This window comes from Homo sapiens, chromosome 9, assembly GCF_000001405.40.
Source record: "Homo sapiens chromosome 9, GRCh38.p14 Primary Assembly".
Lineage (NCBI taxonomy): Eukaryota > Metazoa > Chordata > Mammalia > Primates > Hominidae > Homo > Homo sapiens.
In genome coordinates, this window is record NC_000009.12 from 12,810,818 (window position 1) to 12,826,256 (window position 15,439).

Genomic DNA, 15,439 nt, shown 5'->3' on the forward strand with positions numbered 1-15,439 from the left:
TCTGGAGAGTCCCACCCAAAAGTTTCCAAATGAAAATATTTAGTCAGTGTTTAGACACCACATGAAAAACAAAACAAAACAAAACTGATCTTAAGCATCATAAAGTATTTCAAATATTACCAAATTATCATTAGCAGGTGAAAATAAATATTTGCAGCAAAATATCTGAGTCTTCATTATATTTCCTATGCAAAGGGCCATTGTACAGGTCTTTTATAAAAAAAATGTTAACCTGTGAAAAAGAATTAACTCCTAGAAGGAAACTCAATAAACCTAAGTAACTTTTATTACCATCCTAATCACCTCCTCTTTTTCTCCTACTGAGGCCAACTCAAAGCACATTTTGAAATTAAATGAGGAATTCTGAAAAGCAAGATTGCAACTTAATAAAGTTGTCAATATTGAAAATTTAGTAGTTTCAGTTTAGTTAATCTCGCTGCATTTTAAGCTCTTTAAATTATATCTGAATGTTATTATCTAAGTTTAGTCTATTATCTTATCAATGTATACCCTACTTTCATGACCCTCAGGTTATAGGGGATATAATTTATAAGTGAAATATGTTGAAAGCATCATTTTTGTCATTAATTATCAAACATAAATCATCTGTCATTTCTCCTTCAGGGTAAGAAATCAATTTCTCTTAGGGGAAAGAAAAGCTGTCCTCCTGTAGATGCGAATGGCTCTTTCAATAATCACCTTCAGTTTCCTTGAACATTTTTTGTTTTTGTTAACAAGTATTTAACTACTTACTCTATTTGTTCCTTTTATTCAAACTACAAAGCAATGTACTGGTAAAGTATCATGCCACAGACAGTGATTCAGCGTCTATCAACAAAATTATCCACAAGTGGAAAGATCTCTAGGACCTTGCTAAAGTGTGGTCTATATACCAACAGCATTGGTGTATTAGTTATTCAAGCTGCATAACAAATATCCCAAATCTTAACAACTTAAAACAGCAAACATGTATTATCTCACAGTTCTATATTAGGGAGTCTGGGCACAGATCAAGTGAAGGCCCCTGGATCGGGGTCTCTCACAAATCTGCCATCAAGGTGCCTTGATGAGGCTGCAGTCATCTCAAGGCTCGATCCAGGGAGGATCCACTTCCCAGCTCAATCACATGGCCAGTAGCAGTCGACAGGTCTATGTCCTTGCTAGCTGTTGTCCAGAGATCTCAGTTCCTTACTTTATGCATCTCACAAGGGGCAGTTCACAGCATTGTAGATGGCTTCATTCAGAGCAAGCATTTGAGAGAGTGTGCCCAAGGCAGAAGCCACAATCTTTTTGTAACCTTTTCTCAGAAATGACACCTCATCATTTTTGCCATAGTCTATTATTTAGAAATAAGTCAATAGGCCCATCCGATACCAGGATAGGGAACTACGTAAGGATGTAGATACCAGAAGAGGGTGGTTATTGGGAGATATCTTTGAGACTGCCTACCACAATTGGTAACAACTGGGAACTTGTTAGAAGTACAGAATCATAAAACTGGTGAGCAAAATTTAAATTTTAACAAGATTTGATCCATAGGTACATTCAAGGTTGAAGATCTCTGCTCTAGGAGCAGCGCCCATCCATTTTATTCTGTTGCAGAGATTGCTTCCTCACTTATTTTTACTCACTCTCTGTTGCCTTTGTAAGAAATACAGAGATCACTTTTCTTTTCAAGTCAGTTCTCCCCTACAAAAAATTTTACAAAGTAAGTTTACTAAAGCACTACTGGGCTGCACATAGCGTGTAGGAAATAGAATTGGGAGAATGAAGAAGAAATATGGGGCATAAGATCCACGGCAAACAGATTTAATTATAGTATCAAGAAATTACTAAAAGAGAAGATAAAGCATTTGAGTAGAAAAGATGTCAGGAATCATGTAAAAATAGAGATTACAGTCCTATCTCCTCAACAATCTTCAAATGCATTGCTGAACAACTCTGCATTATAAAGCCTACTGTTTATAACAGTGGCCTCTTATTTTAGAAATATAGCCATCAAAAATTATTATAATACAAAAGCATAAATGTTCAACTGAGTTTAGATACCTGGCTTATTCCCTTTTTCAGTATATTTCATGTCTCAACAATGCTGAGTCATTTATATTCAGTTTTTGAAATCTTTCCAGAAAAGACACTAAAAACTTTGGTATAAATATTTTACATCTATCTCAAATTTTATTCAATGGAAAAGATAAGATTACCTTCAGATTTTAATTACGTCTAGAAAAATAAAAGCCCTAAGGGGTAAAATGCAAGTCTCTAATCTGCTTATTACAAAATGCAATCAATTAAGTAAAGCCTTCATTCCGTACCTCCTCAATGGTACACTGAAGCTAATATCTACTGAGATGTGTGAGCTTTTTGTTAAATTTTCAGGAGTTTTGTGAACTAGTTGCCAATCACAGACATTATTAAAATTTAAAGTATTTATATAAACCTACTAGTTAAGTATTTATATAAACCTATAATTTAAAACAAAGGTAATAAATACTCAAAATTCATGGCATCCTAATTATTTTACTACATTTTACTTTCATGATTTTTTGAGGTTTTTAAAACATCTATTTTATTCACAGGGTGAAAATACCGTATATGCTCTAGTACCGAGTATCTCTTATCAATCCCATGTTTATGTTTAAGGACATTCTATAGACAGATTCAAATTGGCCATGTAGGAGTATTTATGCTACAGAAATTTAAAAACACTATAAAGCAGAACTTGATTTTTATTTTATTGGTTGTCTAGACTTAAGTGATAGAGAAAATTTTAATACTGCAGATTGAAATTGAAATTTGTGGCATGTCCCTAGTTATTACATTTCCAATAGTGCCAAAAAAAGGAAATATTCTCCATGTATTTGAAAACTGTTATTCAATTCAGTGAAGAAATTGCTGACATCATTGATGAACCAGTAAAATTCCAACATAACCCATGCTGAGGCTGAAACAAATTTCAGTTTAATTAATATAGTTTTCACTAAGTGAAAAATAATTTAACAGTGGATCACATATCAGGTGTAACAATAACAATTATTGAGGAATGAATTATCAATTGAGATTAACTGTATTTGTGACATTTTGTTTGAACTGCGTCCATAGTTTGCTATACATACAACAGTTCAGCAAGAATAAATAAAACATTCTCTGAAATCAGTTGGTTATATGGAATTGACAATAAAAAGTGCTGTATATTTTATTATTATCTGTCAAGTGTGTGTTATACATCTTCTATATCAGCACAATTTGTATTATATTTTGTAGTATATATGCATGCATGTGTGTGTGTGCATGTTTATTTTTCCCAGGAAGCTGCTTGTTAAACATTTACTGGCACACTACCCTGTGTCCTTCCCTTACAATGTAACTGTGGCCACTACAGATCACGGAGGAGCACATTAACATGCCCTGGTCTACCATGTGAAAAGAATATCTTAAGTTCTAAATTGAAAAGACACACATGCACAATACTTACTATAAATTAGTGGAAACACTTCTCTGGTCTGTGTTCAATGTGAAAAACTTCTCTGCTGTGAATATGGGGAGTCCATGTTTTCATTAGATCATTCTAAATGAATCTCGGCTCAGGTGATTTATAGCCGATTGCATCAGCCTAAATTACTCTTTGCACATTCATGTTGAAAATATTCAGGGAAACAGTTTTCACTGTATTAGATTATGGAAAAGGAATTGACATCACAGGCATCTAAGTATCAATTGGACCTAGAATCTGATGAAATCATACTGAAAAGCTGCATGTATTACTTTGGCAATCAGATGACTCACCAGCAGAAACTGTACAGATCTCACGAGCAGGCCTGGTGGCCGGAATTTATGCTTATGATTCACAGGAGTCACATGTGCTCCTTTCAAATACACCAGATACAGCTTTCTACTTTATCAAAACAACATCAATCAGTCCACTGTGCTGATGACAGTATTTTTATGTATGTAATTTAGTCCTTGGGGAAATTACTTTTCTATAACGTTCTGGGAAAAGAGTGAACTGTTTCAGTTATTGTTCAGTTCCACATATAAACAACAAAAATGGAGGAAGACAAAGCTGACTGATGTGAAAGGGAATCCTCTGTTGCCCAGTTAGAAACAAATTTTGTTGTAAATTTTGAACTGACTGAGAAAGTGAAAGAAAGCTTTGGTGGAAGGAACAGCACTGACTTTTGCATAATTGTAGGCTTTTCACCTGAAGCATTCCAAACCAAAAACAGTGAGTGGAAATGTTGTACAGTGTCTTCTCAGGCTGCAAAAAGATGATAATATTTTTATGGATCTTCTGAGAAAACAGAGGAGTGATTTATAAGTATAGATATTGAAAACACTGCTGGAAATTTTAAGGATGGGTAGGCAGAAAATCTTCTGTGATCATCAAATTGAGGATGTCCTGAATTTGGAGAGAGGGCAAATTTGAACACAAGGAGCTTATGCAAAAGGAACAAGCAAACAAACTGGAATAAATTGCTGGAAAAACAATACTCCAAGTGCTTTTAAACAGCTCTTCAGTTTATATAGACTTTTAAAAATATATTCTAAAATAAATGTGGATAGAAAAGAGGCCCTGACAGAACTAAACTCTCTTCCACCAACTACAAATCAGAGAGAACGATGATTAGTTTCTCCTAATGAGAAACTAGGGTTAGAGCATCACATTAAAAAGCAAGTCTAATCTTTCTTCCTTCAATGTATGTGACTATGGACTTGCAAAGAAGTCCTTCTTCCTTCTAATTCATATTACAGCTTGCAGGATGGTTGGGATTTACATCTTGAATATTGTGGATTTTACCATACAAATGTATAACTAGGAGGTGGCCTGCTTTTATCTGACTAGTTGACATTCATAAATAAAAGGGTAACAATAATGGAGGAGGGCTTTATGAGAAACCTGAGTATATGATGCTATCCAAGGCTCCAGAAAGGCAAAAAATGTCCCTATTTGGAAGATATATTCAGCAGCTCATGTGCACATTTCAGTTAATATATAGACATATTAAAGATGATATGCACGTTTGTCTTGGAGTGGAATACAAAAATGATTTTTATTCAAACCCAAATGGTGAGAGCAAAAATTATTATGACAAAATTTCTGATAAAGTACCTCAAATTAACATCAAACCCAAACTTCTAGCCTTAGCCATGAGTTTTTACCAGCTACATCTTTTGCTGGAGTTACTGAGCAGCAGAATTGATTCTTCTGTCTCCTCTATAGCCTGAATAATTTTCTCATAACGTAAACAATTTCGTAATCAAATGGCCACAGGAATGGCAAAATATCAGAGAATATGTCGAAATGGAAGGAAATCCTGGGATTATCTGATCTGTAGACTCTTCCTATTAAATTAAACATTAAATGCCTGAAATGTTATAAGACGTTATTAAATATCTGAAACGAAATCTCAGTATGAAAAGCAGATATGTTAGGTGGATGCCTCAGTTGAATTCAGTCTTCTTATTGGGTAAGATTAGTCTTTGTTCACAGAACTACTTTACCACCTTCACTGAGTCCCATGGTTCACTGCAGCTCGGAATGAAATCTCCTGATTTTTCTTCATGTATAAGGAAACTGAGGTCCTGTATGCCAAGCCACTTTCCCCAAAGGTCAAATAGGAAGATAGTGGCAGTGGCAGATTGGAGTCAGTACCATGTTCCTCATACAACACCACAAAGAAGTCAACTTGGTTAGCAACCAAAACTCCGACTGCATTTTTTTCTTAGATTCCATTGTGCCAATGCATAACCTTTGTATTCTTTCAATTTTTAAATGGCACTCTAGAAGAAAAAAAGATATCTGGGAAAGTTTGCTGTTAAGAATATTTTCTCCTTCAAGATTCCTCATTTCAAGTTCTACCATAGACTCAGTTCATCACCTGTCAAAAAAATGACATGAAATCTCAACATTCTCCCTAAAATACAGAGACCTGTGACATCATAATCCTGAAGCCTGAGAGACTAAGTAGGAAGCTGAACCATATGACATAAACTGTAAGGACCAGAGTAGAGGAGGGGAAGTGAAGAGGAAAAGAGGAAAGGACATCCACATCTCTTTGGACCTTTGGACCGATCAGTCTAAACCTTATTTTTGTCGTTGTTGTTTTTTGGTACATGTCCTGGTTGTTTGTTCCCTTTGTTCAGTTCATTTTGCCAAGTGTTTACAGAACACCCATGCTGTGCTAGTATCGGTTATCACCTCTGAACAAATAGAATAATGTTTGGAGTGTGACTTACACCTTGAAGTCCACTTCCTTTTAGAGATACTATCTCATATTCTGTAAATTTAAGCTAGGAATAACCTCACACCAGTTACTCGGTGTTTGAATCTGGAGAAGGAATAGAAGGCATTATCTGCTGGGAACGCTTCAATATTGAAATGTTCTTTCCCGAAGCTACTTTTTTTTTCCCTCTCAAGTCACATATTACTGACCCACAGCAAAACCCGAGATTCCAACAGACAATCCAATCTGAAGCAAAGTTTCTTATTCAGATGTTGGACAGGTACTAATTCAGCACCTACTTGTGTGAGATACTCTTCCAGGTTTTGGCATAGAGTGGTGACCAGGAAAGATCAAGACCCAAGCACTCTGTGGTGCTTCCATGCTCATGGGGGGAAGAGAAAATAATAAGTAAATCCATTAGAAAGATTATGATTTCAACTAGTCATAAATATGATGAAGGAAATATACATGGAAATGTAATATTAATCAAGGCATGGGTATTGCATATTATGATTGATCAGGAATCAGTTTCTCCTAGGAGGTGACATTTAAACTCAGACCTTTAGGAGATCTCAACTCTCAGTATCCTCAGAGTCAAGTTGAGGGACCTTATAAGACTCCAACAGAAGGAACCACACAGTTTCATGCTGCAAGGGCAAGGCTACTCTATTTTTAATTGATGGCTAGACTTCATTAAGACTGAAATGAATAACAGTGAGGAAAGGCGGGGCAGCTACTAGAGACAGAAGAGTCATTGTGATTTAGTTGTTTGGTGAATTGCTCATACTTTCAAGGGTCATCGGTAGCATAACTGCACCTTGGTGCTTGGAGAAAGCAGAGTGCAGCAGCTGGGCCAGCCCAGGACTCTCTGTGCCTGGAGCTCCTGGTAATGGACCTGCCAGCGTGTGAACTGACGTGCCCAGCGCTCCCACGGTGGGAAGCTGTTTACTCTCTCCCGGGAGGACACAGGGTTAGACATAGTTGAATCTATAATCATTATCAACCAGATCAACACGTTCTAACTGACTTGCTTGTGTCGTTTTTTTCCCCAACAGTAGTTCAATGGCCTGTGAATGTTTTGCTTCCACTAAAAAAAAAAAAAAAAAAGATTTTCTTATTTAAATAAGTCATTTCATGGTCAAAGGAAGCTTTTGTTACTTCATAGTCCACTCCTCTTTTCTTCTTACTGCTTAATAAAACTGAAAAACTTGTACTTGATGCAGCCACTGTGTAAGTCAGAGAAAAATTGCTGACAAAAAATGTATTCTAAGTATGTTTTAACCCCTGGTGGCATAGTTGTTAGGAACGTGTATTACTACTGTCTTAAGAGCTAAACTTTCACAGTTCCTAAAATTATGGCTATTTCCAAAAATCAACCAATTATGACTATTTCCAAAAATCAAGCAATGCTTAGTACAGACCTTAAGATAAGGAAGAAATGTGAGACATGGCTTCTTTCTTTAAGGAGCTCACAGCCTAGTTGAAATTGCTAAAAGACAATCATTGGCAGTATATGACAGTACAAAGTTAAGCTATGTTAGGAGATAAGCTAACAGGACGGTAGTGGTGAAGCAGGCCAGCAGAGGAGGCTGGAGCCCTCAAGTAGTGCTTGACGAGAGAAGTATGACTTGAAGAATGGGGAGTATTTGGAGAGGAAGAGAGTGAAGTTTTTCAAGAATGGGGAATGACAGAGGAGCATGCCCAGAGCTGGGAATGGGCTGGAACATTTTCATGGGAGAGGGTGGAGATGTGAATAAATGCAGCCGTGATTTATTTGGGTGGCTATTGGGAAATGGTCAGATTGATATTCTGCCATGGCTTATAAGGGGCCAGCATGTTTTATCAGCTACAGATGCCTGCTGAATGATTTTGCAAAAGTTTGACTCATATTGATTTTTCTGGGCTGCTCAGTGGACCTAGGCAAATTGTTGGTGATTTATAAATGTTTGTTATATTACTTGTAACTTGACCATTGTCTTCCTGGCTCATAGGGTGTGCGGAGGAATTTAAACATAAAGACTGTCAGAAACCTCCTTCCTCAACATAAAGTCATTGCAAGGTTATTGAGACACCCCAACAAATAGAGGGGCTTCTCAAGGCTAAGTTCACATCCTTCTGTTCATGAACGTCTCAGTGAAAAGTAATTTTCTTTGTTACTTCCTGTGCAATTTATTTTTAGTGCTTTGTTCAGAGAAGATGAAGTGACTCAAGTCACTTCAGTATTCCAGCAAAATTAATGGATTTTAAATTGTACTTTATGTTTTTTGTATTCATAGATATATTTTTATTCTTTTGAAACCTGTACAATCTTGCATCTCTTGCAGTTATTAATGGAAATTCCATCTCTCCTAATGTTTATTCATCATGTTCCCTCAATCCAAAGTTCCTCTTCAGTTATGGATTAACTCCTCATACAGAAATATTTTTACAATACAAATGAATACTTTTGAGGACAATTCGCTCTTTTCTTCCTTACAGTTTGAGTCATCCAAGAATGAATGTCTGATAATTCCAGAAACTGACATAAATCTGAATTAGCTCTGGATCCTAAAGAAAGAATTAGCATGACCCAGACTTTTGGGTTAGTAACCCAACTGGAGGGACAGAAATCGGTTTTTAAACCATAGAGAAGGCCGGACATGGTGACTCACGCTTGTAATCTCAGCACTTTGGGAGGCTGAGGAGGGCAGATCACGAGGTCAGGAGTTCAAGACCAGCCTGGCCAGCATGGTGAAACCCTGTCTCCACTAAAAATACTAAAAATTAGCTGGACATGGTGTTGCGTGCCTGTAATCCCAGCTACTCAGGAGGCTGAGGCAGGAGAATAATTTGAACCCAGGAGGCGGAGGTTGCAGTGAGCCAAGATTGAGCCACTGCACTCCCGCCTGGGCAATAGAGTGAGACTGTCTCAAAAAACAAACAAGCAAACAAACCATAGAGAATGTGACTAGGACCTCTAGTGGCCAAACATGGTCCTGCCAGGCTCTGTACTCGAGCCATATCTCTTCTGTTCCAACAGAACAATCATGGGAGTTCTTACAGCACCACCTCCCCAAACACCACCTCTTGATATTAGCAAATGTTTACAGTAAACTGTGGGACCTGCAAAGAGACCCTGCTTTGTGGCTGTGGAGATAGATATCCCTGAAGTAACTTAGAGCTATCAGAAGGACCACACACCTGCCGGGAGCAGTGGCTCACGCCTGTAATCCCAGCACTTTGGGAGGCCGAGGCGGGCGGATCACGCGGTCAAGAGTTTGAGACCATCCTGGCCAACATGGTGAAACTCCGTCTCTACTAAAAATACAAAAATTAGCCGGGCGTGGTGGCGGGGGCCTGTAGTCCCAGCTACTCGGGAGGCTGAGGCAGGAGAATGGCGTGAACTCAGGAGGCGGAGCTTGCAGTGAGCCGAGATTCCGCCACTGCACTCCAGCCTGGACGACAGATCGAGACTCCGTCCCCCCCCCCCCCCCAAAAAAAAAAAAGGACCACACACCTAGAAGGCACATAAGGGAATTCTCAGACCTTCCCAACATCTGGTATCCCACTTTTGATTGGGGTGCCCCTGATATATCTGAAACAAATAGTCAGATATACAGAAATATTTGTACACTTCGTCTCATAAATTGGATCAGCCTAGTGTATCACCCATCCTTTGGATTCAGGGAATATTAGAGCAATTTGGTTCTTAAAAGCAAAAGCATTATTCAGCACTGTCTATGTTGATATAGTCATAAAGAATACAGGTCTTTTTTGTACTCTTAACTCTTTTCTATAGATTTATCTTTCTTCATGTGTAAAATGAAGACAAAAATAATAATACCTGTCATACAGTGTTATTAGATTTTGCTAATGAATGCTGAACTTTTATGATGGTGCTTGGCACATTATCACTCCATAATCAGAGGCTTTTAGAGGCTTCTACGATGCTGAGGATGACTCCTTAATTTGTTCACCTTCCTTTTCTCCCCACGACTCAGGACCCACGTATATACGCCAACGTAAACATTAATAAACTTAATCTGGCCAAAGAGAAAATAAATTTTGTAGTAGAGAACCTGCCATTCAGTATGATATGTTCAGGCCACTTGGTTAGGGTCAGGGATGCAGCAGGGGTTTTATTGTGCCTTTTGGAGCCTGATGCATCTGGCAGGAAGTGAGTTTTTTTTATTATAACTCCTACCATCAGTCAGCAATTATCAAAAAGTTCCTGACAACCAGTCCACTTATATTTTATTCTGTGAATTTAAAATTCTGAACTGCAGCAGACAGTCCCCAGATGAATTTGAGGCCTTTCGAGAGTGTAAAATGGCTGGAATATCTTTCTTCTCTCTTTGTCCATAGGTTAACCTCAGAGCCACAGACGTCAGGCTCATGCGCCAGTTGCTTGTAATCAATGAGAGCATCGAGTCCATCAAGTGGATGATCGAAGAAAAAGCCACCATTACCAGCAGAGGCAGCAGCCTCAGTGGCAGCCTGTGCAGTTTGTTGGAGAGTCAGAGCACCTCCTTACGTGGCAGCTACAACAGCCTACACGATGGCAGTGATGGGCTGGATGGCATTTCCGTGGGAAGTTATCTGGACACGTTGGCGGATGATGTCCCAGGCCATCAGACCCCTTCAGACTTGGACCAATTCAGTGACAGCTCCCTCATAGAGGACTCACAGGCACTACACAAGCGTCCTAAATTGGATTCTGAATACTACTGCTTTGGCTAGTGACAGTTTTTTGCATGGGACTGGTGTGCAATGAACTTGTATTTATCCTTCTTCTCCGCTGCTATATTTTTGGTGTGATTTTTATTTTAATAAGATGACCTTTTTAAAAGAAGCTGATTTTGAAACTGCTTAATGGTATTGCTGTTGCTCCTAATACTTCTCATCTGAGCTGATTTATTTTTCTCTGTTACATCTCTATTTTTTATTTATTACAATGATTTTCTCCCTTCTTTTACAGTAGCACAAACAAAGTAGGGGGAAAAGAATAAGCAATAATTATGTTTTTGCTTTTGTTTTCAGAGCAATGGGTCAGGGATTACAAGAAAAACTTTGCTAAATTTTACAATAAACCAAAGTCTGATAACAGTTAATGTTGCTGCTTGCGTCCTTAAATGACTTAAGGTTTCATCTTCCAGAAGATATTGAGATATATTACTGTTTGCATATCAGGTTGAACAAAATGCTTGGAACAAAATTAAGCATTATTTCTAGACCACAACATTCTAGTGTATAATCAACCATACTGTTAGTCACACACGCCCACATGACAATCATCTGAAAGTCCCCAACTATACACATTCTGTTCAACCAACTCACCCTTGTGTTGGTACTTTAGATTAACATTTTGTCATCAGTGATTCTAACTCAAATCATATGTTTATTTGTGTAATAAAATGTATTATTCTCCCAAATTTCAAGGAATAATTGAGATTAAGTATGGAGGCCATTCAAGGCAAAAATGTCCTAAATTTAATTGCATTTTGAGATTTTGTTGGCATTTACTTGTATGTATTTTGTGATTCTGATAGGATGTATAAATACTTAGATGCATACAAGCCGATGGATAGAAAGACAGATAAATATCCCGATAGCCTACTATCAGCATCCTACTACTGCTTCCCTAAAGCAGAATTGTTATTCATTTAAGAAGTCTAATATGATATACATTCATCCTAGTATAAATAAATAATCTCTAAGTTTTCTGAAATGGAATATTTAACGCACATAGACAGTGGATATTTACTTTAAATATAATGTTATTAATCCTCTGCATTTCTTTTATCTTGATAACTCCTAGTGAGGGAATCTAATTAAGATTTCATGCTGTTCTTTGTAATGATAAATGTTTCCGGACTAAACACTCTATAATACAAATCAAAAAATCTTCCTTCTTATAACTGAGAAATGTTTCACCCAAATTTCCTTTGTTATTATATATTTACTACACATGTTGAATTTATTATTGTTTATTTCCAAGGCATGTATTATTCAATTTCTAATTAAAATATATCAGGGCTTATATTTTGCACTGATCTTTTCCCATAAGTCGCTTGATATAATCCTCATCACAACAATCTCATAATGTGAGGACTGTCATCATCCTATGTTTGAGGAAATTGAGGCACATAGAAGGTAGGCCACTGAGACAAGTCTCCCAGTAAGTGTCAAAGCCAGGATTTAAACTTGCATCTGTCTTATTCCTAACAATAACACTCAATAACCTCTTTGGTAATTATTGATGTTAAATAATAAAATGGGAATGAGAAAGCAAATGTAAGCTCATAACAAAAATTAAAAATGTAACCAACCAATTTCAAACAGAAGATAATGAAATATGTAACCATATGTCCACAACCTTGCAAGGAGAATATCCTCAACTACAAAGAAGTGGCAGGCTGCAAGAGTGTGAGGCATCAAAGGCAAATTCTAACTTCTTTAAAACCTACCCTTTGCCTTGAACAAGCCATGCACATGAAAGGCCATTTCTGTTCTCAGATCAGTTTCAGATCGTGAATACAATCTGGTAAATTTCTGTTACATTCTTCTCGTGCAACCCGCTTCCCCTGCTATATGGCCACCCCATGCCCTCTATAAATTTTCCCTCTGGAGAAAGGAAATGCAAAAAGCACAAGAGTATAATGTGGGAGAAGTGTCTGGAATAGTTTTCATTTATATATTGTATTTTAAGGAAACTATAATGAACATTGGCAGAACACTTGAGAATGTTTTTGGCTTTATGAGTTTCAATATTTTATATGCTTTACATTAATTCCAATATTTTTTGCAAGATAGCAAATAAAGATTCCACCATTTACATATATGGAATCACATGTAAGCCAACAATTTTTTAATAATTGATTTTACTAAAAGGAAGGCAATAAACATTTAAGCAACACTAACTGTTAACATATTCATTGGTCTCAAGAGAGTGAGTGCATAGGAGTGCACCATTTTTAACTGAAGAATCCCCATAACTAATCTCTGACCTGGACCATTTGATATTTGATCTCTGTCAGCACCAGAAGGAAAAGGGGTAAAAAGTTATAGTATTTTTTAAACTATTCTGCCTACACTGAGTTGTGTCTTCCCAGAGAAGATGGAATTTTCCTGAGTTACATTAATCTCTCAATTTTTATGGACTTGTTAGTCTTTTAATGGATGGAAAATAATTAGATGTAAGGAATTTAGACAAGTTAAAACTAGTACATTTTTGGAGTTTTGCAAATAAAGGAACTCTAGAAGACCAACCTAGGAGTCTTAACTAAACTTCAAGGAAACAATGTTTATACTACCAGCCAGCCCCAAAGTACATAGTGTAAAGTTTTAAGTATTCGTCAATGTTTGGAAATGCAAAAAACATTATTTACTGTGGGTGGACTATAAAGGTACTTGGAGCCCACAAATAATTGCATTCAGGCATTTGTTTCCACAACTTCATAAAAACACATACACTTTGGGAGGCCGAGGTGGGCGGATCACAAGGTCAGGAGATCAAGACCATCCTGGCTAACACAGTGAAACCCCGTCTCTACTAAAAATACAAAAAAAATTAGCCAGGTGTGGTGGCAGGCTCCTGTAGTCCCAGCTACTTGGGAGGCTGAGGCAGGAGAATGGTGTGAACCCGGGAGGTGGAGCTTGCAGTGAGCCGAGATCAGGCCACTGCACTCCAGCCTGGGCAACAGAGTGAGACTCCGTCTCAAAAAAAAAAACACACAAAAAAGAAACACAATCACCTCCATGATGACAAAATAAATATTTTTTTATTTTGTTTTGTTTTGTTGAGACAAGGTATCGCTGTGTCACCAGGAAGAATACAGTGGCACCATCATGGCTCACTACAGCCTCCAACTCCAGGGTTCAAGCAATCCTTCTGCCTCAGCCTCTAGAGTAGCTGGGACCACAAGCATGCACCAACATACCTGGTTAATTTTTTATTTTTTGTAAAGATGGGGTTTCACTATGTTGCTGAGGCTGGTCTCAAACTCCTGGACTCAAGTAATCCTTCCACCTCTGCCTCCCAAACTGCTGGGATTACAGGCATGAGCCGTCCTGACAACCAACAAATGATTATTAAGCCTAGCATAGTGGCACATGCCTGTTGTCTCAGCTACTCAGGAAGCTGAGATGGAAGGATTACTTGGGCCCAGGAGTCTGAGTCCACCCTGAGCAACAAAGCAAGACCCTGTCTCTAATAAAAATAAATACACATTAAATAAAGGAAAACAAAATAAATGATTATTTCAAGCTCCTCATCTTACTGATCTCACAGCAGTTGACATATTTGATCACTCCTTTTTGAAAGAATGTCTTCATTTTTCTTCCAAGACAAGACTTTCCCTTCATTCCCCAATGCCTGCATGTTTGCAGACTCCACTGCTGGTTTCTCTTCATTTTTTCTGACCTCCAAAGGCAAGAGTGTACTTGGGCTCAATTCTCTTCCAAAATTTCTCCCCTGGGGAATCTATTCGGTTTCACAGTTTTGAATGCCATCTATGTGCTGAGATTTCTAAATGTATGTGTCTAGCCCCAATCTGTCCCCTGTACTCCAGCCTCCCATGTCCACCTGCCCCTGCAGCATCTCTATTTGATGTCTGACAAGCATCTCAATCCTAACATATCCAAAACGGAAATTTTGCTCATTTTGAAATCCTTGCCAGTGTAGTAAATGGTGCCTCCACTCATCAATTTTTCAGTTCAAAACCTTGAAGTCATTCTTAACTATTCTCTTTCCATTACACAACATCCGTATCATATGAGTTACATGTTAGAAATATATCCAGAATGCTACAGATTCTCACCATCAACACCAATGCTATCACTCTAATTCAAGCACCATCGCTTCTCCCTGAAACTACTGCAATAGCCTTGTCTTGTTTCCTTCCTCCCATCCCTACCTTCCTACCGTCCGTGTTCAACACAGCAGAGTAATCTTCTAAGGCACAAGTCAGATTTTACCAGCCCCTATTCAACCCCGTAATGAATTTCCATCCTCTTCAGGGTTTAGTCCAAATGTTTACTGTGGAATACCAAACCCTGTGCAATCTGTCATCCTTCTGCCTGACCTCATCTAGTACAACTCCCCTCCTTTCTCACTGTGAAGCCTCATTTGCCTGCTTGTTAGTTCTTACAAATCTCAAAATCCAAGCATGTTCCTACCTCAGAATCTTTGCATTTCTCATTTCCTCTTTCTGAAATATTCTCCTAAATATGTGTAA

At 37.8% G+C, this 15,439-nt stretch overlaps 1 protein-coding gene and 1 long non-coding RNA gene across 2 annotated transcripts in view, besides 1 other annotated feature; one reads left to right on the top strand and one right to left on the bottom strand.

Moving 5' to 3' along the window:
* Positions 1–3,572, bottom strand: part of LURAP1L-AS1 (LURAP1L antisense RNA 1) — a 114,391-nt gene extending 110,819 nt beyond the window's left edge. Inside the window, exon 1 of the long non-coding RNA NR_125775.1 lies at positions 3,476–3,572. This is a non-coding gene — a long non-coding RNA (LURAP1L antisense RNA 1). The remainder of the gene's footprint in view (positions 1–3,475) is intronic.
* The window catches only part of LURAP1L (leucine rich adaptor protein 1 like), a 48,041-nt gene extending 35,798 nt beyond the window's left edge, over positions 1–12,243 (top strand). The window contains exon 2 of the mRNA NM_203403.2: positions 10,569–12,243. Within this exon, the coding sequence (NP_981948.1) occupies positions 10,569–10,943 (375 nt within the window). The 3' untranslated portion in view covers positions 10,944–12,243. The remainder of the gene's footprint in view (positions 1–10,568) is intronic.
* Positions 3,185–4,384: an enhancer, noted in NCBI's record as "P300/CBP strongly-dependent group 1 enhancer chr9:12814001-12815200 (GRCh37/hg19 assembly coordinates)". NCBI's record gives its function as "activates an origin of replication core promoter dependent on BRD2, BRD4, P300/CBP, MED14 and CDK7 cofactors, with strong dependence on P300/CBP, by STARR-seq in HCT116 cells {active_cell/tissue: HCT116}" and the evidence as "EXISTENCE:reporter gene assay evidence [ECO:0000049][PMID:35650434]".
* Positions 12,244–15,439: the final 3,196 nt, after the last annotated feature.